The sequence below is a fragment of the Homo sapiens genome, chromosome 10 (assembly GCF_000001405.40).
Source record: "Homo sapiens chromosome 10, GRCh38.p14 Primary Assembly".
In the NCBI taxonomy this organism is placed as follows: Eukaryota; Metazoa; Chordata; class Mammalia; order Primates; family Hominidae; genus Homo; species Homo sapiens.
In genome coordinates this window covers 42,750,716-42,774,121 of record NC_000010.11, presented here as the reverse complement: position 1 = coordinate 42,774,121, position 23,406 = coordinate 42,750,716, and the positions used below count along the sequence as shown (strand labels likewise).

General features: G+C 49.3%; 2 long non-coding RNA genes across 2 annotated transcripts, besides 3 other annotated features; one reads left to right on the top strand and one right to left on the bottom strand.

Annotated features, from left to right (window-relative positions):
- Positions 3,819-4,319: an enhancer, noted in NCBI's record as "H3K4me1 hESC enhancer chr10:43265251-43265751 (GRCh37/hg19 assembly coordinates)". NCBI's record gives its function as "activates a minimal SCP1, AML or CMV promoter by ChIP-STARR-seq in primed H9 embryonic stem cells {active_cell/tissue: H9 hESC(primed)}" and the evidence as "EXISTENCE:reporter gene assay evidence [ECO:0000049][PMID:30033119]".
- Positions 4,320-4,820: an enhancer, noted in NCBI's record as "H3K4me1 hESC enhancer chr10:43264750-43265250 (GRCh37/hg19 assembly coordinates)". NCBI's record gives its function as "activates a minimal SCP1, AML or CMV promoter by ChIP-STARR-seq in primed H9 embryonic stem cells {active_cell/tissue: H9 hESC(primed)}" and the evidence as "EXISTENCE:reporter gene assay evidence [ECO:0000049][PMID:30033119]".
- Positions 4,501-18,980, bottom strand: LOC105378269 (uncharacterized). The gene is made up of 2 exons (NR_134498.1): positions 18,697-18,980; positions 4,501-4,843 (listed from the first exon to the last, which is right to left on the bottom strand). It is a non-coding gene; the product is annotated as an uncharacterized LOC105378269 (long non-coding RNA).
- Positions 18,067-18,361: a silencer, noted in NCBI's record as "tiled region #13348; K562 Repressive DNase matched - State 12:CtcfO". NCBI's record gives its function as "represses a minimal TATA promoter and a strong SV40 promoter by Sharpr-MPRA in K562 cells {active_cell/tissue: K562}" and the evidence as "EXISTENCE:reporter gene assay evidence [ECO:0000049][PMID:27701403]".
- Positions 18,919-22,938, top strand: LOC283028 (uncharacterized). Its single transcript, NR_136644.1, has one exon. It is a non-coding gene; the product is annotated as an uncharacterized LOC283028 (long non-coding RNA).
- Positions 22,939-23,406: the final 468 nt, after the last annotated feature.

Sequence of the window (23,406 nt, the reverse complement as noted above, 5' to 3'; positions counted from 1 at the left end):
TCACATCTTACATGATGGCAGGGAAGAAAGAATGAGAGCCAAGCAAAAGAGGTTTCCCCTTATAAAACCATCAGAACTTGTGAAACTTATTCACTACCATAAGAACTGTATGGGGGGAACCACCCCCATGATTCAATTATCTCCCACCAGGTCCCTCCTACAACACATGGGAATTATGGGAGCTACAATTCAAGATGAGATTTGGGAGGGGACACAGCCAAACCATATCAGATCCAATTTCACATATTTTTGGACCCAGGAAACCCCACTAAGGCCAAGATTACATATGCTTTTCCAGAGTCTGCTTTTGAAGTCTTCAGGAGGCTCCTGTGGAGAAAGGAGCTGCTGTCCAAGCCAGAGGGCCTGTGGGTGGGATGGGCAGCTTCCTCCACATTCCCTGTTTTCCAGGCTCAGGGGGGCAGCCACTGGGAAATGGGATGCAGTCAGGTCACTTGCAGGCCATTCGCCCAGCAGAGAAGCCACCAGGGTGGGAAGTGGCTCACTAGGATGAGTGCTGGGCCAGGTCTGGTCAGTGTGACCACCTTGTCCTGAGCTTATGATGATGAAGCTGCAGTCGGTCAGGGGCACGCAGAACAGAGTGCAGCAGTCTGTGTGGTCTCACCCCCTGCAGCGGCATCTAGATGCTCTGCATGAAGGACAGGAGTGTCTCCATATCCCAGGGCTTCCACAGCAGGAAAAGAACTGACGAGGAGCAGTTCCAGGGATGGGAGAAGACAGAAGGACAAGCCTTGCTGTAAACTCAGGACAAGCCTCTTGGAAACAGTTTCAGAAACAGGCTGGAGGTGGATATGAGGAGGCAAGAGTAGAGGGGCTGATGGCCCCAGTCAATCAGTGGATGGCACTCCCAAGGCTCAGGAAAGCTGCCCAGGGTGTCTAGGCACCCCTTTAGGTCTCAAACGCTGGTATGCATCGATTCTGGAAGGCTCGTTAAAACATAGATTGCCAGCTCCACTCAGGTTTCTGATTCAGAGTGCTTGGCTTGGTGCTGGGAATTTGTATTTCAACAAGTTCCCCAGTGAGGCTGTTGCTCCTGGTCCTGGGACCCCTCACTGAGAACCAATAATGTTTCAGGATCCTTGGGGTTTCACTTTTCTGGCCAGAAACCTCTGTGGAGGGTGGAGCCATTGCCCAATATTTGTTCAGGACCAATGGGCTTGTTCCACTCACTCAGCTCATTCCACTCACTTGGCCTGGCAGGCTGCACTCAGCTCACGCCACCAGCCTGGATCCCAGGCCTGCCAAGGGTAAGCCAGGCATGGAGTAGTGAGGGGTGTGTGAGCAAGTGAGCATGGGGTCTGGTCACTGCACAGTCAAGCATGCCGGCTGCTGCAGTGGGATGGGCAGTTCCAAGTGCCGGCATGGGCACCAGCTCTCTGTGAAGCTGTGGCTGAACTAGGGACACTGCAAGCAGCTTCCACAGCTGCCACCAGGGAACACAGTGGTGCCCAGAAGCTTGAAGATTCCAGGAACCACAAGGCCCCAAAGAGGGAGTCAAAGCCCTGGCCTGGGGAGCTCCCAGGTCTGGGCTCCCTGAAGGGCTGCAGCTCTTCTCTCCTTCCCTTCATCTGCAACATGGGGAGCAAGGGACATGTATCAGCACTGTTTGTGTTATAACTCTTTCAGCCCTGCTATTCAGCAAGTCCTGAGTTCTTGTCCCGCATCCAGGAAGAATGAGGTACACAGACAAGTGAAGAATGAGCAAGGTGAAGAGGTGCTTTATTGAGTGACAGAATAGCTCAGAGGAAGCACCGGAATGGGTAGCTCCTCCCTGCAGCTGGTCATCATGTTGAGTGTTCAGCAGACAGGAGGCCCTGAAGTGGGTGGCTCCTCTCTGTAGCTAGTTGTCCTGATGTCTACTCAGCTCTGGCTGAGCCTGGGGCTTTTATGGGCCTCAGAGGAGAGGAAATGCCACCCTGATTGGTCCATGGACCGCCACAGGTGGGCTGGAAAAGACATCACAATTTCCCACTATGGTCCATGGGACTGCCGTCCTGGCCACCAGCCTTCAGGACATCCCTGACCTGAAGGTGGGGCCTCACCAGGGACCTGCCCGCCCCCCCACCCTATAACCTGTCTGCCTCCTGCTGCTTCTCATGGCGCCAAGGCTGTAGGTGCCAAGGGGTGCCTGCAGGTCAGCGCCAAGCTGCCCTCAGGCCCCCATCAGCTTCCCTCCTATGCTCATCAGTGCCTAAAGTCTGGAGGGTGCTGAGGTGGCAGCGGGCTGGTGTGTCAGTACTGCCCCAAGCAGGTGCACACCCAGCTAGGCTGTGACAGCACCCAGGCTTAGCTGGACTTTGCTCTGAGATTGGAGGGGGTGCCAACAGCAAGGAGAAGCCAGGCAGTGGGAGCAGGCATTTTCAAGCCCGCAAGGGGGGGCCTTCCCTGGCCCCCAAGGGTGCAAGGATGCCTGGGTCTGCAGCCACAACTTGGGCAGCTACAGCTGTGCCCAGAGTGGGTGTGGCTCCTTCTTGCTCCATGGAGCAGGAGGGCTGGGTCCATAGCCAAGAGTTGGGTGGCTGCGGCTGCATCCAGGGAGCTCCCACCCCACCAACTCTGAATGAGTGGGGCTCCCATTTGTCTCCAGCTGCTGCTGGTTCCACAGAATGTGCAGCCCTGGCTGCACCTCCTTGCCACAGCCAGTGTGATGGCAGCAGCCACTTCAGACAGGCCACCACTGCCATCAATAAGAGGTCTACAAGTTCCTGGTTTCCAGTGTCCTGGCTGCTATGAACATGGTACCCATGTGGTTCATCCTGGAGACATGGCTTTTGCCTATAACTGTGGCTCACCAAATCCTGCTGCATGACACAGACCATGACCAAGAGCCGATAAGAGCCACTCCTTGGATGTAACAGAAACCAGCTTAATGCTGCTTGCAGGACAGTTCTTTGGGTGGCTTGGGCCAATGCAGTTCTCCCCACCTTTTTTTCTTTTTTTTCGTTTTGAATGGAATCTCACTCTGTTGCCCAGGCTGGAGTGCAGTGGTGTGATCTCGGCTCACTGCAACCTCCGCCCCCAGGGTTCTAGCAATTCTCCTTCCTCAGCCTCCACAGTAGCTGGGATTACAGGCACCTGCCACCACGTCTGGTTAATTTTTTTGTATTTGTAGTAGAGATGGGGTTTAGCCATGTTGGCCAGGTTGGCCTCAAACTCCTGACCTCATGTGATCCACCTGCCTCAGCCTCCCAAAATGCTGGGATTACAGGCGTGAGCCACCATGCTCGGCCCCCACTTTTTTACTTATAGTTCTCGAGAATAACTATAGAATGTGCTGAAAATGCAACATCCTGAGATAAGGAGGAACTGACCAAAACAGCCCAGGCTCTGTTCTTGTTCCCTCTAGAAACAGAGTGTTCTCCAATGCTTTAGCCCAGCAATTCCCACTACCCTTGAGTATAACACCCAGCGCCAGCTGCTCTGCAGGGTCTCTTAGTTGTGGTACAAGTGGAGCAAACAGATGAGAGTCCATCCACTCTGGACAGCTTTCCTGAGGCTTGGAGGACTGGCTTGTCCTGAAACCTAGGCTTCTATTGTCCCTCACAGCCAATCTGTAAGTAATAAACCCACTTCAGGTCACATGTTTATGGAGTGGGCAGTGTGTGAGGCCCTGGGGTGATTCAGTGAATCACATCAGGTGAGCATGAGGGGCTTCCTGGGAGAGGGGAAAGCCCATGTCAGGAAGGAAGGCCAGGAGAGGGGACCTGGTGTGGCAGAGGGCACTGTCCCTGGGGGAGTGGTGAGAGCCCTTAAGAGAGGAGGTTTGGATCCTGAAATCAGCAGGGAAGCCTGGAAAGATTAGCTGCGGAGAAGCAGACAGGGGTTTCAGCCTAATGCCTTGCTGGATGAAGAACTGCTTGGGTCAAATTTGCCTTTGAATCCCGGAACGTGGTGCCTGGTTTTCCCTCTGCATGTTGCCCTGTTTCTCAGCCACCTGTGTGTGTGGGTCCTGAGGTGGGGCCATCATGGTACACTTGAGGAGGGGCTCCATGTGGGACTCCAGGGATCCACAGTTCAGAGCTGGTTCCTCAGGGAGTAACGAAAGGGGTGGGGAGGAACCCAATCCTGGGCCTGGGAATGGGTACAGCAGAAAGTGAAAGTCAAAAGTGCAAGCAATGAAGAAAACAGTAAAACAGCGCCAACACTGCGCATGTTCAGTGGAAGGCAAGGCACGCCTTGCATTTGCAGTCACTAAGTCACACCACCTCCTCAAAAACCCTGGGGAGTTGGTGCTGACTTCCCAAGGCCACGGAGCCAGCAGTTGCAGAGCAGGATTTGTGCTTTCCTCAGCCAGGCTGTGCTGCCCTGCCACGCCCGCGCCAGGAGGCCACGCCCCCAGTGGAAGGCCATGCCCCCACGGCTTGCAAGGCTGGACTGCAGGCGGGTGAAGGACTCGGTGTCCTGTCTTGTAATTTGTCTCTTAAGTGTGACACAAACACACACACACACACCACGTTTGAAATTTGCTCCATGACACTCAAGTTCAGAAATCTCATGTAACTTTAATATTCAAAATCCATGTCAACCCCAATCATGTTTGTGGGGTTCTATGGGGTCTCGAATGAGGAATAGCTAGCTGGATTCCAGTCCACAATGGGCACCCTCACTGTTCGGCAGCATCCTGGGCCACAGTCCTCACGACTGGCTGGGCCAAAGAGACCCAGGACGCTGCAGGTTAAAGGCCAAGGCACTGGCCAGCCCTACGCCCACCAGCTGGACCCAGCCCAGTCCTTGTTCGTCCTCAGCTCCTCCTCCGCCTCAGGGAAGTCGCGTCCTGGTCAGGAGGACCTGCAACAGCCCACACTGTGTCCTTAGGGCGAGGGGGCTGTAAGAGTTAAAGAAAGGAAAGAAACATGAAAAGTGGCTCAACAGTCAAAGACAGGTTTATTTTGGAGAATAAACCTGAGGGGCTTCTAGCCTATTTCTGTCAGGAGCATTCTGTCTTACAGACTAGGAGTGTTTTAGGGTGAGAGAGCTTATCACAGATTTGAAGTGTTTCTGTGTGGGGGAGAAGTTTATGGCAGGGTTGGAATGTCTCCCGCGGGAGGGGATGTTATCTCAGGGCTGGCATGTCTCTGGTCGGAGAGGGGTTTATCTTAGGGTTGCAATGTTTCTGGTCAGAGATGTCATTTGTGGTTTATGGTCATGCTGACCGTAGCCATCAGGCTGATGACCTTTAGATTTAGGCAGTTTTTGATCAAGGGGAACTTTAAGATGGCGGTGCTTGTACAAGATGGAGATGCCCCTGCTCTGTCAGGGGCGAGGAGAGGCAACTCTGGGTGAGACCGCAGCAACAACAGCAGCAGAAAGGACCAACCTGCAGCTGGGCGCAGACCAGTCGGCAGGTCCTCCTGACCAGGACGCGACTTTCCTGAGGCGGGGAAGGAGCTGAGGACTAACAAGGACTGGGCCGGGTCCAGCTCGCGGGCGTAAGGCTGGCCAGTGCCTTGGCCTTGAACCTGCAGCGTCCTGTAATCCCAGCACTTTGGGAGGCGGAGGTGGGTGGATCATGAGGTCAAGAGATCGAGACCATCTTGGCCAACATGGCGAAACCACGTCTCTACTGAAAATACAAAAAATTAGCCAGGTACGGTGGCGGGCGCCTGTAGTCCCAGCTACTTGGGAGGCTGAGGCAGGAGAATCGCTTGAACCTGGGAGGCGGAGGTTGCAGTGAGCTGAGATCGCGCCACTGCACTCCAGCCTGGCGACAGAACAAGACTCCACCTAAAAAAAAAAAAAAAAAAAAAAAAAAAAAAAAAAAAAAAAAAAGTACCAACCTGCTTGTTTTTGGTGCATTGCTATAAATAACTCTTCCGTTAAATAAATGTACGGGCTAACGCTGCTGCTTTTGCTGTGAGGCTCTCATCTCAGCTTTGGAGGACGGAGACCAGTTGCTGGTAGCGTTCACTCACTCAAGCAGAGAGGGACTTCTGTGGTCCCCACAGCACGCGATTGGCCGGCAAAGGGCCTCGCAGAGGATGGACGCCCGCAGGCGGCCCTGCTGGGAGACGCCTGCCTGGGCAGCGCCTCTTCCCCACCGCCTGTCCTGGGCTGGCCCGCCTTCTTGGTTTAGGAAGCCAGATTCTCTGGTCCCGGCCGACTGTGCTTAGCCATTGTTTGTTGTTTTTTTCTTTTTTTTCCCTTTGAGATAGGATCTCGCTCTGCTGCCCAGGCTGGAGTGCAGTAATGAGATCTCGGCTCACTGCAGCTTCAAACTCCTGGGCTCAAGTGATTCTCCCACTTAAGCCTCCTGAGTAGTTTGGACCACAGGTGCGGTCCACCACCGCCCAGCTAATTTTCTTTTTTCTTAATAGTAGAGATGGGGTCTTGCTACATCGCCCAGGCTGGTCTTGAACTCCTGGGCTCCAGCAATCCTCCCTCCTCGGCCTCCCAAAGTGCTGGGATTACCGGCATGAGCCACCACCCGGCCTGCTTAGCCACTCTTAAGAGAGCGTTTGTTAGCGACAAATTCTCTTAGTTTTCCTTCATCTGAGAATGCCCATTTGTCCATTCTTGCAGGGCATTTTTGTTTGATGGGGTTTTTTTTCTTTCAATAAGGGGAAAAATGTGCCACTTCCTTCTGGCCTTCAGAGTTCCATATGAGAAATCTATTGTCACTTGTGATGTTTTCCCTTTATAGATGAGGTGTCATTTCTTTCTCACAGCTTTCAAGACTTTTTATTTGCCTTTAAGTTTACAGAAGTTCAACTATGATGTCCCTTGGAATGTCTTTGTGTTCATCCTGTTTGGTGGTCACTAAGCTAAGCTTCTTAAGTCTATAGCTTTGTCTTTTGCCAGAGTTGGTAAGTTTTTGGTCATGATTTCTTCAAATATGTTTCGAGGACCACCTCTTTGTACTCTCCTTCTGTGACTGCAATGGCAGGAATGTCAGGTATTCCATGTGGATCCCACAGGTCCTGAAGTTCGTTTTTACAGCCTGTTTTCTCTCCATTGTTCATATTGCTCTATCTTCGAGTTTACCAATTCTTTTCTTGTTACCTCCATTCTATTGTTGAGCTCATCAGCTGAGTATTTTAAGCAGTCAAATGCTTCATATTTTAGTCCAGTTTTAGATTTACAGACCAGTCCAGCATGTGGTACAGAATTCCATCTGCTCACCCCACTTCCCTGCCTGTTTCCTCTATTGTTAACGTCTTGGATTGTGGTGGTACATATGTTAAAATGAATGAACCATTATTGACACATTATAAATAACTATCGTCTATACTTCACATTAAGGTTCACTCTGTTGTACAATTCTCTGAGTTTTGACAAATGCATAAAGGTATCCGCCTTTACAATTTCATATAGAATAATCTTGCCACCCTAAAAATCCCCTGTACTTCACTCATCTATCCCCCTCCCCCAAAATTTCTGGCAACCCCTGATCTTTCTACCATCTCTATAGTTTTGCCTTTTCCAGAATGTTATATAGTTGGATCTGTACTATATATAACCTTTTCAGACTGGCTTCTTTCCCCTAGCAATATGCATTTGGATATCCTCTATGTCTTTTCATTGTTTGATAGCTCATTTCTCTTTTTTTTCTTTTTTTTTTTTTTGAGACCAGTTCTCATTCTGTCACCCAGTGGTGCAATCAAGGCTCCCTTGCAGCCTCAAACTCCCAGGCTCAAGCGACCGTCCTAGTTCAGCCCAAGTAGCTCTTCCCTTCTCTTCTCTTCTCTTCTCTTCTCTTCTCTTCTCTTCTCTTCTCTTCTCTTCTCTTCTCTTCTCTTCTCTTCTCTTCTCTTCTCTCTCTCTCTCTCTCTCTCTCTTTCTTTCTTTCTTTCTTTCTTTCTTTCTTTCTTCTTTTTTTTTTTGATGGAGTCTCACTATGTTGACCAGGCTGGACTGCAGTGGTGCGATCTGCAACCTCTGCCTCCTGGGTTCAAGCAATTCTTCTGCCTCAGCCTCCCAAGTAGCTGGGATGACAGGCATGCCCCACCATGCCTGGCTAATTTTTGTATTTTTAGTAGAGATGGGGTTTCACCATATTGGCCAGGCTGGTCTCGAACTCCTGACCTTGTGATCTGCCCACCTCAGTCTCCCAAAGTGCTGGGATTACAGGCGTGAGCTACCGCGCCCGGCCTCTTTTGGTATTTTTTAATCATGTTGCTCATTTTCTTATTGTTGAGTTTTAAAAGACTTGTATATTTTGGATACAAGTCCTTTATTAAATATGTATTTTGGAAATATTTTCCCCATCTCTTGCTCCCATCTTCATTCTCATAACAGTTTTTAACTTTAATAAAGTCCAACTTACCAATTTTTTTCTTTCATGCATTGTGCTTTTGGTTGTGTCTTATTTATTTATTTAGAGATGGAGTCTCACTCTGTCACACAGGCTAGAGTGCCATGGCACAATCTCAGCTCACTGCAACCTCTGCCTCCCAGGCTCAAGCAATGCTCCCCCATTAGCCTCCCAAGTAGCTGGCACCACAGATGCGTACCACCACACCTGCTAATTTTTTGTATTTTTGGTAGAGATGAGGTTTCACCATGTTGCCCAGGCTGGCCTCAAACTCCTGAGTTCTAGCTATCTGCCCGCCTCGGCTTCCCAAAGTGCTGGGATTACAGGTGTAAGCCACTGCACCTGCCCTTAGCTGTATCTGAAAACACATCACCAAACCCAAGGCCACCTGGATTTTCTCCTTTGATCTTCTAGATTTTTTTAAATTATTATTATACTTTAAGTTCTAGGGTACATGTGCACAATGTGCAGGTTTGTTACATATGTATACATGTGCCATGTTGGTTTGCTGCACCCATTAACTCGTCATTTACATTAGGCATCTCTGCTAATGCTATCTCTCCCCCATCCCCCCACCCCATGACAGGCCCCGGTGTGTGATGTTCCCCGTCCCTGGTGTCCAAGCGTTCTCATTGTTCAATTCCCACCTATGAGTGAGAACATGCGGTGTTTGGTTTTCTGTCCTTTGTGATTCTGCATTCTACATTTAGATCTTTGATCCATTTTGAGTTTTAATTTTTGAGAAGGGTGTAAAGTCTGAGCTTAGATTCTTTTTTTTTTTGTACATGGATGTTCAGTTTTTAAGCACCACTTGTTGAAGAGACTATATTCCTTCATTTAATTGCCTTTGCTTCTTTGTCAAAGCTCAGCTGACTATATTTGCCTAGGTCAATTTCTGGGCTCACTCTTTGGAACCACTGATCAATCTGCCTGTTCTTTCACTAATGCCATGTTATCTCAATTATTTAGCTGGATAGTAAGTCTTAAAGTTGGGTAGTGTCAGTCCTCTGAGTTGTCATTCTTCAGCATTTTGACTACTCTGAGTCTTTTGCCTCTTCATGTAAGCTTTAGAATAAATGTGTTGATATCCACAAAATAACCTGCTAGAATTTTGATTGGAATTGTGTTGAATCTATAGATCAAGAAGGGGAGTATTAACGTCTTAACAATACTGAGTCTTGCTATCCTTGCACATGAAATATCTATCGATTTATTTAGGTTTTCTTTGATTTCTTTCATCAAAGTTTTGAAGTTTTCCTCATATAGATCTTGTACATATTTTGTTTACTTTATGCCTACATATTTCATTTTGGGGGTACTCATGTAAATAGCATTGCATTTGAAATTTCAAATTCCAATTTTTTTCATTGCTAGCATATAGGAAAGCAAATAATTTTTAATATTAACCTTATGAAAATGGTGTAGATTTGTGTCCCCACTCAAATCTCATGTTTAATTGTAATCCCCAGTGTAGGAGGAGGGTCTTGGGGGAGGTGATAGGATCATGGTGGAGTATTTCTCCCTTGCCATTCTTGTGATAGTGAGTTCTCACCAGATCTGATTGTTTAAAAGTATGTAGCACCTCCCCCCTTTTGCTCTCTCTTCCTCCTGCTCCAGCCATGTAAGACGTGCCACCTCCCTCTTCACCTTCTGCCATGATTGTAAGTTTCCTGAGGCTTCCTCAGCCATGCTTCTTGTGCAGCCTGAAGAATTGTGAGCCAATTAAACCTCTTTTCTTTATAAATTACCCAGTCTCAGGTAGTTCTTTATAGCGGTGCAAGAACAGACTAATACAGAAAATTGGTACTGGGAAGTAGAGCATTACTATAAAGATACCTGAAAATGTGGAAGCAGCTTTGGAAGTGGGTAATGGGCAGAGGTTGGAACAGTTTGGAGAGCTTAGAAGAAGACAGGAAGGGCCAGGCGCAGTGGCTTATGCCTGTAATCCCAGCACTCTGGGAGGCTGAGGCAGGCGGATCACAAGGTCAGGAGATTGAGACCATTCTGGCTAACACGGTAAAACCCGATCTCTACTAAAAATACACACACACACACAAATTAGTCAGGTGTGGTGGCATGTGCCTGTAGTCCCAGCTACTTGGGAGGGGCTGAGGCAGGAGAATCACTTGAACTCAGGAGGCAGAGTGGTGAAAGTGGGCATCTCTTGTTCCAGATCTTAGAGTAAAGGCTTTCAGTTTTTTTCCCATTCAGTAAGAAACTACTTGTGGGTGTGTCTTACATGGCTTTTATTGTGTTGAGGTATGTTTCTTCTATACCCTGTTTTTTTAAGGGTTTTTACAATAAAATGTTGAATTTTATCAAATGCTTTACAGCATCAATTCACATTATTATGAATTTTGTCCTTCATTTGTTGATATGATGATCACATTGATTTGTGTTATGTTGAACCATCCTTCCATTCTTGGCATAAATTCCACTTGGTCATTATGAATAATTTTCAATATGTTGTGGACTTTGTTTTGCCTGTAAATTTTCTTGAGGATTTTTGCATCAATTTTCCTTAGGGATATTGGCCTGTAGTTTTCTTTTTTAATGTGTCTTTGATTTAAGTATCAGGCATTGAAATATTTCTCCCTCCTCTATTTTTTGGAATAGTTTGAATAGGATTGGTATTAGTTCTTCTGTAAATATTTGGTAAAATACAGCAGTGAAGCTATTGCTTCCAGGATTTTCTTTGTTAATACTTTTTATTAAGGCTTTGATCTCATTATTTGTTATTGGTTGGTTCAGGTTTTGAATTTCTTCATGGTTCAATCTTGGTAGGTTGAACTACTACAAGAAAACACTGGGGAAATTCTCCAGGACATTAGACTGGGGAAAGATTTCTTAAGCAATACTCCACAAGCACAGGCAACCAAAGCAAAAGAGGACAAATGGGATCTCATTAAGTTAAAAAGCTTCTGCACAGCAAAAGAGACAATCAACAAAGAGAAAATCCACAAAATGGGGAAACATATTTGCAAACTGTCCATTTGACAAGGGATTAATAACCACAATATATAAAAAGCTAAAACAACTGTATAGAGAAAAATCTAATAATCTGATTTTAAAATGGGCAAAAGGTCTTAATAGACATTTCTCAGAGAAGAAATACAAAAAGCTAATAGACTTAGGAAAAGGTGACCAACATCACTGATTATCAGAGAAATGCAAATCAGAGCTATGAGGATATATCATCTCACCCCAGTTAAAATGGGTTTTATTCAAAAGACAGGCAATAACAAATGCTGGTGAGGATATGGAAAAATGTGAACCCTTGCATACTGTTGGTGGGAATGTAAATTAGTGCAACCACTATGGAGAACAATTTGGAGGTTCCTCAAAAAACTAAAAATAGAGCTACCATATGATCCAACCATCTCATTGCTAGATATATACACAAAAAAGAAAATAAATATATCGAAGAGATAGCTGCACTCCTATGTTTATTGCATTACTATTCACAATATCCAAGATGTGGAAGCAACCTAAGTGTCCACCAACAGATGAATGGATAAAGAAAATGTGCATATATACAATGGAGTACTATTCAGCCATAACAAAGAATGAGATTTTGTCATTAGTGACAACATGGACTGGTGCCGGACGACATTATTTTAAGTGAAATAAGCCAGCCACAGAAAGAAAAGCTTTGCACATTCACACTCATTTTGGGGAGCTAAACATTAAAACAATTAAACTCATGAAGATACAGTAGAATGGTTGTTACTTGAGGCTGGGAAGTGCAGTCGGTGGGGGGAAGTGGGGATAGTTAATAGGTACAAAATACAGTTACAATGAATAAGATCTATTATTTGATAGCACAACAGGGTAACTACAATAGTTTTTTTGTACATTTTAAAATAACTGCGTATAACTGAATTGTTTATAATACAAAGAAATGATAAATGTTTGAGATGATGGATATCCCATTTACCCTGATGTCATTATTATGCATTGTATGTTTGTATCAAAATATCTCATGTACCCCATAAATATATATGCCTACTATGTACCCATAAAAACTGAAAAAGACCCATAGACGGTGACATCTGGGGATTCCCCTAATACAATAGCGGGTTCTGGCTGATCATCCCACAGGGAAGCCACTCAGCAGCCACACAGTTCCCCTTACGCACACACCCCTAGTAATCAGCTCTGTTAGTGTATAAACATTAAAATATGTGCAGACAATATCACAAGTCATACGGGAAATGGAAAGCAAGACCACAGTGAGGTACAGCTTCATACCCATTAAAATGGCTATTATAATGCAAACAAAAAAAGATGGAAAATAACCATCTGGTACGCAGATTATGTTACCTCTGGTCATATGCACTAAAGAAGAGGGAGAGAACTCAAGGCCTCAGAACAAGAGAGAAGTCCAGGCCAGGCTCTGGGCAGTAACTAGTCATGTGGACTCTGAACAATTACCTCATCCTTCATGGCCTCAATTTCCACATCTGTGAAATAAAGGGTCTGGCCAGGAGACACATAACAGCATTCTACATGTAACTGAAGAAATAGTGCCATGGATAGGTGAGGGAGGGTAATTAATGGAATTGCCTCTAGAGGGCAAATAAGTAACAGAATTGCCCCCAGTTTCTCCACGGCTTTCTAAAGAGGGGTAAAGACTTGCTGGATGCCAGATGTCTTCCAGGGATCCCAGAGAATTGGTCTAGGGAGGCAGTGCTTTACTGTATTATAGAAGAGGAATTAATCACACTAATTGCTTACTCTGTACTTTTGCTTAACGATACAATATAAACAAATACAATGAGAAATAATTTTAAAGCAATCAAAGCGCCTTCAAGTTATTAAAGCTCCTGAAGAATCAAACATTACATCCATATATAGAATTATTATACGAGGCACAATTAATGATTTGATTTATAGATATTTTTATATAGGTTTGATATGCAACAAGTCTAGGGGTAAAAAATCAATAAAATCTGCCTTCTAATAAGCAGGGGTTTCTGCCTTTTTCTTAAAAAATAAACTATTATATCAAAATGGTAAAAATGAACATTTTAAAATAAAAATTATCAACATATATTATCATTCTGCCTACTGAATTTTAATTTATCCTCAAAGTTCAAAAAAAAAAAACTTCTTTCTCATGCAGTTTCCCCATATCCCTAATTAGGATGAATTATTGAAGCATCCTGGGTGATTCCTGAACACTTTCGATCCTTCAGTTATTCAGGTCCAGTTTAATGGCACCTGAGAACAATTATATACCGAGAACTGTGCTAAACTGACAAAGGCGACCAAAGAGCTTATACAGGGACATACCTGTACCCTCACATCAGCTCCCAAGTCTCCAGAGGGAAACGGAGAGGACATGATGAATCAGCTCTCTTTTTACTGTATTATGCTTGGAAAGATTGTTATGGAGACACAGAAGACAGATAAATCAACCTTGCCTGGAAAACTGGAAAAAGGTTCAAACAGGAGGCAAATTTAGACCAATATGTATCAAGAACTCGTTGATTCTTACAGGAGGAGGATATTACCAGACAGACAAGTGAAATGACAAAGCCATTCTAGAAATAGAAAAGGTAAGGAAAAGAATCAAGAAGTGGAAGTTAAAGGCCAGCTCTGGGTGCTTTGTGACCAGAGCCCAGTTGGCAGTGGGAAGATTTATGTTCTATACTAAGGACGTTCTCTGTAATGACAATCCACCCTGTTGCACTAATAATTTAAGAGCATTTATATGAATATATACAATTCAGGGAAAGATAAAGAGAAAAAATTGCTATCAACTCTGTGCAGATTTGGAAACTGGTATCAAAGGAACAGTTTCAGCTGCATTTCTTTGTCTAGAAAGTTTCATTTAAAAATGTAGTCTACTAACTTGAGCCTCAATTTTTGGCAATAAACTAAAAAACGCTACACAAACCATCACAGAATTCACTTTGTCCTTGCAGGAAAGAAAAAAGAAGAAAACAAACCTCCATGTGAGAGGGGGTCTAAAAGAACTCTCCAAACCTCCATGATTTTGCAAGAGACAAGACAAGGGTAATTACCTGCAGCACCTGGACCCATCTAGATTAACTAAATTTAATGAGGCTCCAGAGGAAGGTCTTCAAGACTCAGACCTTAGTTATGATTAGAAATTAATCACCTGTGTCTTCAGATAGCCCCCGTTCCATGTTTAGAGAGAGATCTTTGAGCACCCATCTTCATTCATTTGAGAACAGGGTCACTGAGAGGGAGTCTCTGAGGTCACAGAGTGTATTAGTTCACTTTCACACTGCCGTGAAGAAACACCCAAGACTGGGTGATTTATAAAGGAAAGAAGTTTAATTGAGTCACAGTTCCACATGGCTGGGGAGGCCTCAGGAAATTTACAATCACGGTGGAAGGGGAAGCAAACATGTCCTTCTTCATGTGGCAGCAGGAGAGAGAAGTGCAAAACGAAGAGGGGAAAGGTCACTTATAAAACCATCAGATCTCGTGAGAACTCATTCACTTTCACGAGACGAGCACGTGGGAACCACTCCCATGAAGTAATCACCTCCCATGAGGTCTCTCCCCCAAAACGAGGGGATTACAATTCAAAATGACATTTGGGTGCAGACACAGAGCCAGACCATATTACAGAGCCAGAAGAGCTGAGCAGTGGGCACTTAGTAAATGTTCATTAAACGAAACCCCTAAACAAGGCTGGCTTCATAGAGGTGCCACCTGTGCAATGGCAAAAGCCCCACATTCAGAGGGGACCTGAACTTGGTTTAATGCTATGTTGTCACTGCCTTCAAATTCTTAACATTTTTTGAACAAATGACTCCATTTTCAGTTCACACCGGGTCCTGCAAATTATGTACCCAGTCCTGCCCCTGAAACAAAGATATGGTTTGTTCATGAAGGGGCTCCCTCGACCCTTCCCTGTGCATCTCACTCCAAGATGCCCTAAGTAAAAGGGAACAAAGAGCTAGGAGAAGGTAGTAGTTGATGATGATCTTGGAGGTCCCACCTGATCATGGCTGGCGATGCATATGTGTGGGTGGGAGAATTTGGTTGCTCTCTCCTGGCAGCCTCCATCCCATGCAGAAGGCCTGCACTTTGCCTGTCTGTCCCCCTATGTCCTCTACCTGACTCAGGAGTGTGGATGGGGGAGGGGAGGCATTGGGCCCAGTGCTCCTGGTCCCAGCTGGAGTTCTCTGTTGATCTGGGAGATTTGGCTCCTCTGACTACTCCTACCCCATCGCCATTAGGACAGGAGTTGGTGAAGGGGACAGGGTGGGAGGCTTAATTAGCAGCCAGGGCCAGGCAGCAGGCAGTGGGGCAAAGATCAGGCTGACTTTTCCTGCTACAGATCTGCTCTCTGGAAGAGGCATTCATGGACTGGCTTAAGCTGTGGCTTGGCTATTTTAGGAATATTCTTAACCCTTCCTGAGTCACTGCTGTCATCAGACTTCTCTCCCAGGGCGCAGAGCACCAGACTGTTCCCTCTCCCTGTCCCCTTCTCCCCAGTCCCTGCTTTCCTCCCTGGCAGCTGAGAAGGTCAGAGTTTTCTCAGGGGTGGGGCAAGTTGACTTCTGCCAAGGAAAACTCCCGGGTCCCTGAGTCCCCTTCTTTGTCCTGCCCTGTGACTTTTCCCTCTTCATCACAGCTCTGGACTCAGCCAAGTGGCACAATGGGCATCACCTCAGCCCTTCTCATCTTATAAAATTGGAACCTCAGACTCTCTCATCTGAAAACAGCTGATTTGTATCCCAAGAGTAAGATGGGAAGCTGTAGTCCTGACTTCAAACCTCTGGCAGAGCAGGAGCCCCTGCGTGCCTGGCTTTGATGCCCCATTAGGGGCAAGTTTCCACAGCCAGAACCCCTCATGGGGTTCCCTCTGCCTGTTTTTTCCTCCACTCCAGGTCCTTCCCAGAGTCTGGCTTCTTGGAAAAGCCCAGGCCAGGATATAGGCATTACCTATGTAAGGCCAAGGGGAGTCCCACTGCCGGCCAGAAGGGCTCAACATCAATATATCTGAAATTCAAGCCATACAGGGGGAAGAGATATTGGCTCAGTGTCAAGGGTTTCTGTGTCCACGCTAGGCTTGCCTGAGCTGGGAGGCCCAGGACATCTGGGCTTTGTGATGCCTTCTGACACTAGGAGTTGGAGTTTGCCACCAACTGCTATTGGGAAAGCTTGACTTGGTGATACAGGCGTAATGCTGATGATGCCACACAAATGCCCAAGGGCCTATAGTGTGCCTGACACTGTCCTGGGCAATGGGTATAGAGGATCAATAATCATTCTCTTCCTGAGAAAGGAAGCTCTCCTGGGCTGGTTAACCAGGCATCTGGCCACAAGCCTGGTCTAGTGTTGATGGGCTCCAGCAAGTGAGTCATCCCAACTAATTCCCCCTCTTCCAGGTTATCACAACAAGCCCAGCTCCAGAAGTGAAAGAGCTGGCTGCAGATGGGGGTGAGGCCAGATGAAAATGCTTTCGCTCCCCTCAACGGCTGCAGAGGGGGCTCTTGCAAAGGGGGTCATTGAACTGCAGTTTCTTCTGTCTCCAATCCAGAAAGAGCCTGATGGATTGATAAAGGTGTCCTGGGAAAGATTTTCAGTTCAAAGAGACAATCCCCTCCAGGAACTCCAGAAGAATTTTGTCTGGCGTTTAAAGAGTAAGAAGCTGCTGGGTGTGGCAGCTCACACCTGTAATTGTTGTGCTTTGGGAGCTACAGGCAGGAGGATCACTTGAGGCTAGGAGTTAGAGAACAGCCTGGGCAATACAGTGAGACGCTCCCCACTACAAAAAAAGCAAGAATACCCCTCTCTTTACCCCTACTTGAGAGACGTGACTAGAAGGCAGAAAGCTGGCTGTTGACGGGGGAGTCTCTCTCTTCAGGCAGAGGTAGGGCTGCTTCCTGGGACAGAGGCATAGATGGTATTTCTGGCTCTGCAGTTCCTGATGAAGACATACTGGGGCACCCAGGCTAACCTTTGGCAAAACTAGGAGCGGAACTCAGGAGTCCCTGATGCCAGCCTCGCTGATGCGATCCCCCCTCCCCTCCCCCATGTGTCTTGCTCCCTAGCTCCCTCCCCACCAGCTTCCAGGCCAGGACCCCCAGCTGGCTGGTGGAGGATGTCTTCCTCCTCAGCAGCTAGGATTTTTAAGTATTTATAGGAACATGGAACAGATCAGTGGCTGACAGGCCCAAGGAGCGTGCAGGCCCCTTCCCAGAGGTCAGCAGCTTCACTCCCCCTTCCTGCACCCCATCCTGATTTGACGGAACCCAGGATGACAAAGAGGGAGTAGGTGAGCAAGGTATGGGGTGGCAGCCTCCATAGGAGCTCAAAGGATGTATTTGTCCATCTGCCCTGGGCTCAGCTTCCACACTCCGAGTCACTCACATCCCTCCACCCTAGCCGGAGCTCACCTGTGTGCCCACATGACCAAGACCACACTGACCCCAAATGTACAGTTTCAACTCTCAACAATTCACTGTCACACTCACGTGTGTACACACATGCTTTCTAAATTCCACAGCCACATGGATGCTCACAGGCTCACACCTTTGCACACACACAGGCTCACTCACAGACCTACGGGGGGCCCAGATCCCGGTCATTCCCCACAGGTCTTTATAAGGGTTCTGGGAGGGAAACTTGTTTCCTGTCTAAGGTAGGGTGGGAGTGTGTGTGTGGGGGGGGAACGAGAGTGAATGTGAGAGTGCATGTATGTTAGTGTGGGTGTGTATGTGTGTAAGGAGCAGGAGTGACTGGGTCCTGAGTTTAGGGAGTGGGGAAGAGAAAGGAGAGATGGAGACAAGCGTGGACCAAGAGACACTCAGAGCTGACATCCTGGAAGGGAAGCCAGGCTGAGATAAGAGCAAGGCAAAGAAATAGACACCGACAAGGATCAAGCCAGGGCGGGGTAGGGACTGGGGACAGATCCCGCCCCCATGAGAAGCTGTCACATTGTTGCTCAGGTGGCCTGTGACAGCAGCGCCATCTCCAGCTGGAGCCTCCCCTCTCTGGATCTTGTCATTGTAACTTTGCTTTGCTACTTGGGCAGCCAGGAGTGGTGACAGGCAGGGAATATGGTGCCCAGGGCAGTTAGCCATGCCACTCCAGTCCGGCTGCCAACCCACCTGTCACTGCCCATCTCAACACCTGTGGGGGTGGGGGTGGGTACAGATGAAACCGGCGATCAGCTTGGCTACCCTTGCCTCCTAGTGCCACAGTGGAGGCTAGGGGAGCAACCGGCCTTCCTCCCCAAAAGGTGGTCAGGGTTAACCGCACTTTGCCCAGGTCACTGAAGCCTGCAGCTGAGCTTGGGGAGAATGGGCCGTCTCTGCTCCCAGGCACCCAGGAACTACTGGAGAGAGACAGGAACCAGCCTATGAGACAGGGGCTTAAGGAGGAGGTTGGAGAAGACACGCGTTTGGCATAAACCGGGGGCCCCTCTCTGCGCTCACCGAGCCGGCGGCCTGGGCGGTGCTGAGCCTGCCCCTGGCGGCGTTCGCCTGGGACAGCGCCTGAGCGGTGGCCGATCCCACCTGGATGTCCCGGGTCGGCTCCCACCCCACGCCGTCCCCGGCCGCAGTGGGGAGATGCTCGCGCTGGTCCTTGCCATACTTGGCTGCTGCCGGGCTCGGGGTCCCGCGTCGTACACGCCCCATCAGCCCTGGCCACCGCTCCTGAGGGAACGCCCCGGGGAGCCCTTCCGGGCCCCGACGGCTGCGGGCCCCGGAGCCAAGAGAAGAAGCAGGTCCCAGGGCCGACTCCGCAGCAGCATCTCCAGCTTTGTCCGGGAAGCAGAGGCCGCCGCCGGCCACAGTCGTGGGTGAGAAGAAGGGCGCGAGGCGGCCGGGGCTCCTGCCGGGCACCCCAAGTACGCGCCGGGCTTCTCCATGACAGCTGCGGCCCGGGCTGCCTGGGGCCTGGGACTCCGGCGCGGTCCGGCCGCGAGAAAGGCAGGCGCTGCCCCAGTGGGGAAGGGGCAAGGCTGCGGCTCCGGCCACCGGGCGGGGGCACAGAAACGACCCCGGCGCCGTCTGAGCGCCCAGCTCCGTTCCTGCCGCGGCCAAAAGACACCCGAGAGCGCCGGCGGCTGGGGGACCACAGGGCCCTGGAACTCACCAGGCGGCCTCGCGGCGCAAAAGCGGGCGGAGCCAGAGAAGGGGCTCGGCTAGGCGGCCACGCTCCCTCCCCGGAGGGCGGCGGGACTCGGATTTCGCCTCTGGTTTAAAAATTGTGCCTGCGGAGCCCAGGACGCTGGGAGGAGCGTTCTGCGCTCCTCCGGTCGCGGTCTCCGCACTAAACCGACTTCCAGAGCCGCCTCTGCTCCCTGTAGTGGCGGAGGGGCGGGCACCGAAGTCCCACCAAGTCGCAGGTCCTCAGCCTGGGGCATGCTTGCTATGCTCCGGATGCAGGGGGGTACTCTGCCTCTCTGCTCCCTGGGGGCCAAGGCGTGCGCTGCAGGCTGGAGCTGCGGCTCCGAGGCTTCCAGGAGCCCCGGCCCCGCCGTCGGTGGAGAAACGCTGGGGGCTTCGAGGTCGCGGCTTCCGGAAATCCGGTTACTGAGCGGAGTTGGGGGTCAGGTTCCAAAGGGATAGCGCCCCGGGTTGTAATCACCATCTGGCCCGCCGCTCCTGCCGCCGCGAGTCTACAGCGGAGCTATTGGGTGGACCAAGCGGGTGAGGCGCGGGCAGGCAGCGGCTCCGCCTCGTAATCCTCCTCCGACCGGTGCCCAGGGGCTGGCCCCACCTTTCCCTCGGTCACCCACCAACGCCGCTCCCTCGATCCCCAGCACCCCTCCAGGCCCAGTTCGCTTCAGAGGCGCGAGACCCGGAAAACAAGGAAGAAGCGAGCTCAGCCTCAATCCCCGTCCCCACCCCACTTTCGGGGCCGCTGCGCTGGAGAATTGAAGGGGGCGGACCCCGGATTAAAGCCGCTCCCTTCCCAGCCTCGCTCCTCTTTCCTTCTGTCCGTGATGATTTCTTTATTGTCAGGCGAGAGCCAGGCTCCCCGCGCTCACGGGACCGGGCGGTTGGGAGCGGGTTCTGGAGCTCACGCCTGGCGTCGGCGGAGGTGACCCCAGCGCCCTCGCCCGTGCAGGGGAAACAGCTGGTTCCCGCCCGGATGGGGAAACCTGGACTGCGTGGGCTCGGGCGCCTGGCAGGCATGCGGGGCCTCTAAGGCTTGGCCACTGTCACGGGTCCTGTGGTTGTTGCTTCTCCCCTCGCCACGCCCTTCTCCTGGGACGGAGATTCATTCCCTGGCGGGTGTCGGGGACCTGGGCGCAGATTCATTCCCTGGTGGGTGTCGGGGACCTGGCGCTCTTGCAGGGACGCCCCCCGGAGTCTGATACGTGGACTTTAAGATCAGACGCTTCGGGGCCGGGCTGGGAAAAACTGGCGGAAAATATTACAACTCTACTCTCAATGCCAGGCTGTTGTAGAAGCTCCTGGGACAAGCCGTGAAGTCTCCGCAGGAGGCTTCAGAGATATACTAGGCGGCTGCTCAGTTCGCCAAGGACTTTTCCATTGACTCACAAGCGCCGCCTGGAGGAGGAGGCCGCGCTGGACGCGCCGGCGGCGCCTTTGCCTGGGGGAGCGCAGCCCGGAGCTGTGGCGTGGCCGCGCTGGGAGCGGCGTGTCAGAGGCTGGGCCTGGGGACCCGAGGTTGGGCGGGGCGCAGGAGGTGGGCTCAGGGCTCTCCAGAGCACTCCCCTGAGCTGACCCGCAGGACTGCCGGGCCAGTAGGCACGGGGCCCGCGCGGTGACCTGCGGCCTCGAGGCTGGAGCAGCCACTGCAAACGCCGCGCTGGCCCCAAACACTGCGTCCTTGAAATGTTTTAATTAAGAATAATTAATAGGGCCGGGAGTGGAGGCTCAAGCCTGAATCCCCAGCACCTGGCGAGGCCGAGGAGGGAGGATCCCTTGAGCCCAGAGGTTCAAGACTAGCCTGGGCAACACAGTCAGACTCCATCCCTACAAAACAAACAAACGAAAATAAAACAAACGAAACGAAATGAAATTAGCCCGGCGTGGTGGCGCGGGCCTGTGGTCCCAGCTCCTCGGGAGGCTGAAGCAGGAAGATGGCTTGCGACCGCACCACTGCGCTCCAGCCTGGGAGACAGAGCAAGACCCTGTCTCGAAAAATGTGTATGTCTGGGTAAATGTATAGATTTTAAAACTATTTTGAAGGCGGCCTTTTTAACTCTAAACTGACCACTCTGGAGGAGACGCCTGACCCAGAGCGCTTTCCCTAAAGTTCGGTGCCCAAAGTGCACCTTCCCATGGTTGGGGTCTCTGCCTTTCGCCAAGCCTTGCCTCTTGCAGAGGTGGGCTCCATAGTGTCTCCCGCTCCGCCCCAACTGGAGAACAGTGTAAATTGTCGGCCGGGCGCGGGACCTCATGCCTGTAATACCAGCACTTTGGGTGGCTGAGGCGGGCAGATCGCTTGAGGTCAGGAGGTCGACACCAACCTGCCTAAACATGGTGAAACCCCGTCTCTACTAAAACTACAAAAATTAGCCGGGCGTGGTGGCGGGCGCCTGTAATCCCAGCTACTCAGGAGTCTGAGGCAGCAGAATTGCTTGAATCCGGGAGGCGGAGGTTGTAGTGAGCCGAGATCGCGCCACCGCACTCCAGCCTGGGCAACAAGAGTGAGACCGCGTCTTAAAAAAAAAAAAAAAAAAAAAAGAATTGTCAACCAGAGGGAGCGGCAATTCAGAAGCACGCTGAAGCCAAGTCCTCAAGACTAGAAAGCATGAAGCAGGGGAGGCGTTTTGAAAGCTTAAGGACAAAAGACCATGGGCCTGGATGGCTGATTCCGGGATCGGCATCGTAATTTGTTGAGAAGGAGGCCGTGCTGTGCTGCCAGTTATTAATGGGTTTAATCGGTTGATACACAGCCCTACTGGCCTAACCAGTAGCCCAGGGCCCGAGAGGATTTGCAGGTCGTGTCAGAATTTGATTGAAGTTCCTTCCACTTGGCATAAGGAGACACCATCAGCCTGATTGAGAGGGTCATGGTGAGATGGAGCCCGCCAAGGTGGCAGCGCTGAGCTGACCACGCCACGGACCATAGAGTGGGAGCCTTTCCTGCCCCCTTAACCGCAGCTAACATCAAAAGCACTGGTATGGGCTGTCTAACTGGAACCTGAGTTGGTCTTTGTAATTACGATTCTTTTGGGTTTATTTTGCCAGTTCATTATCCACCCCCCTGAAATCAGGCCTCCCAAATTTAGCAGGTGCTGGGGAGGACCCCAGGGAGTGGCTTGTGGGGGCTAGCTGGTGAAACTACCCTTTCCTTTCTGTTCTATGAGTGTGATGGTGTTTGAGAAATATGGGGCTATGGTTCAGGCGCACTTCACATGTGCAAAGATGGAGAAAGCACTCACCTGCACATTTAGGCTCAGAATATTGATTGAAACATTTTGAAATATCAAAAATAAAATGTTATTTTTAAAGTTTCTCTGAGATTTCGCTTAAGTTTTGGTAGATATTCTTAAATTTTAGTGACCTCAGTTTGGGAATTCAGTAAGCCAAATATTGTATCCTTATTATTAGTTATATAGAACTATGCCTTAGACTTTGTTAGAAACTTCTGCTTCAGCTTGACTGACTCATTTTCCATTTCTGGTTGTACAAAATGAACTGACACTTTAATGCTGTGGCCACCTTTAAATAAAGTACAATGTGACAAAAAAATACAAATGTTTTCAGAGATAAATGCATTCTTTGACATCTGAGGTTACAGCAAATCTATTCTTCGCCTGCTTGCTTGTTCAGAGTTGTAATATTTGCTTTGGTGTAGAGCTGAAGACACAAATTGGTAACCAGTGGAATTATATGGCCTCAGACTTATTTATTCTCATCATTTGTTTCGCTCATATGCAAATTTATTCTGTACCAGGAAATGTCAATTTAATTATATTCTACAGTACACAGTGAATCATGTAAAGTTAGTCAAGTTGTAAATACGCTAGAACCATATAAGCTCACAAAAATATATCAGCGCATGATGGGTAAGTGACCTTCCCCTGAGAAAGCATATCTGTTTAACTTGCATGATCTCACCCTTTAGTGTTTACTTCTTTAGTCTACATTTGTTTCTCAGTTTTAAGTATAATCATGATATGAAGAGACAAGTGAAATCACCACAATTTTGTTTCCAAA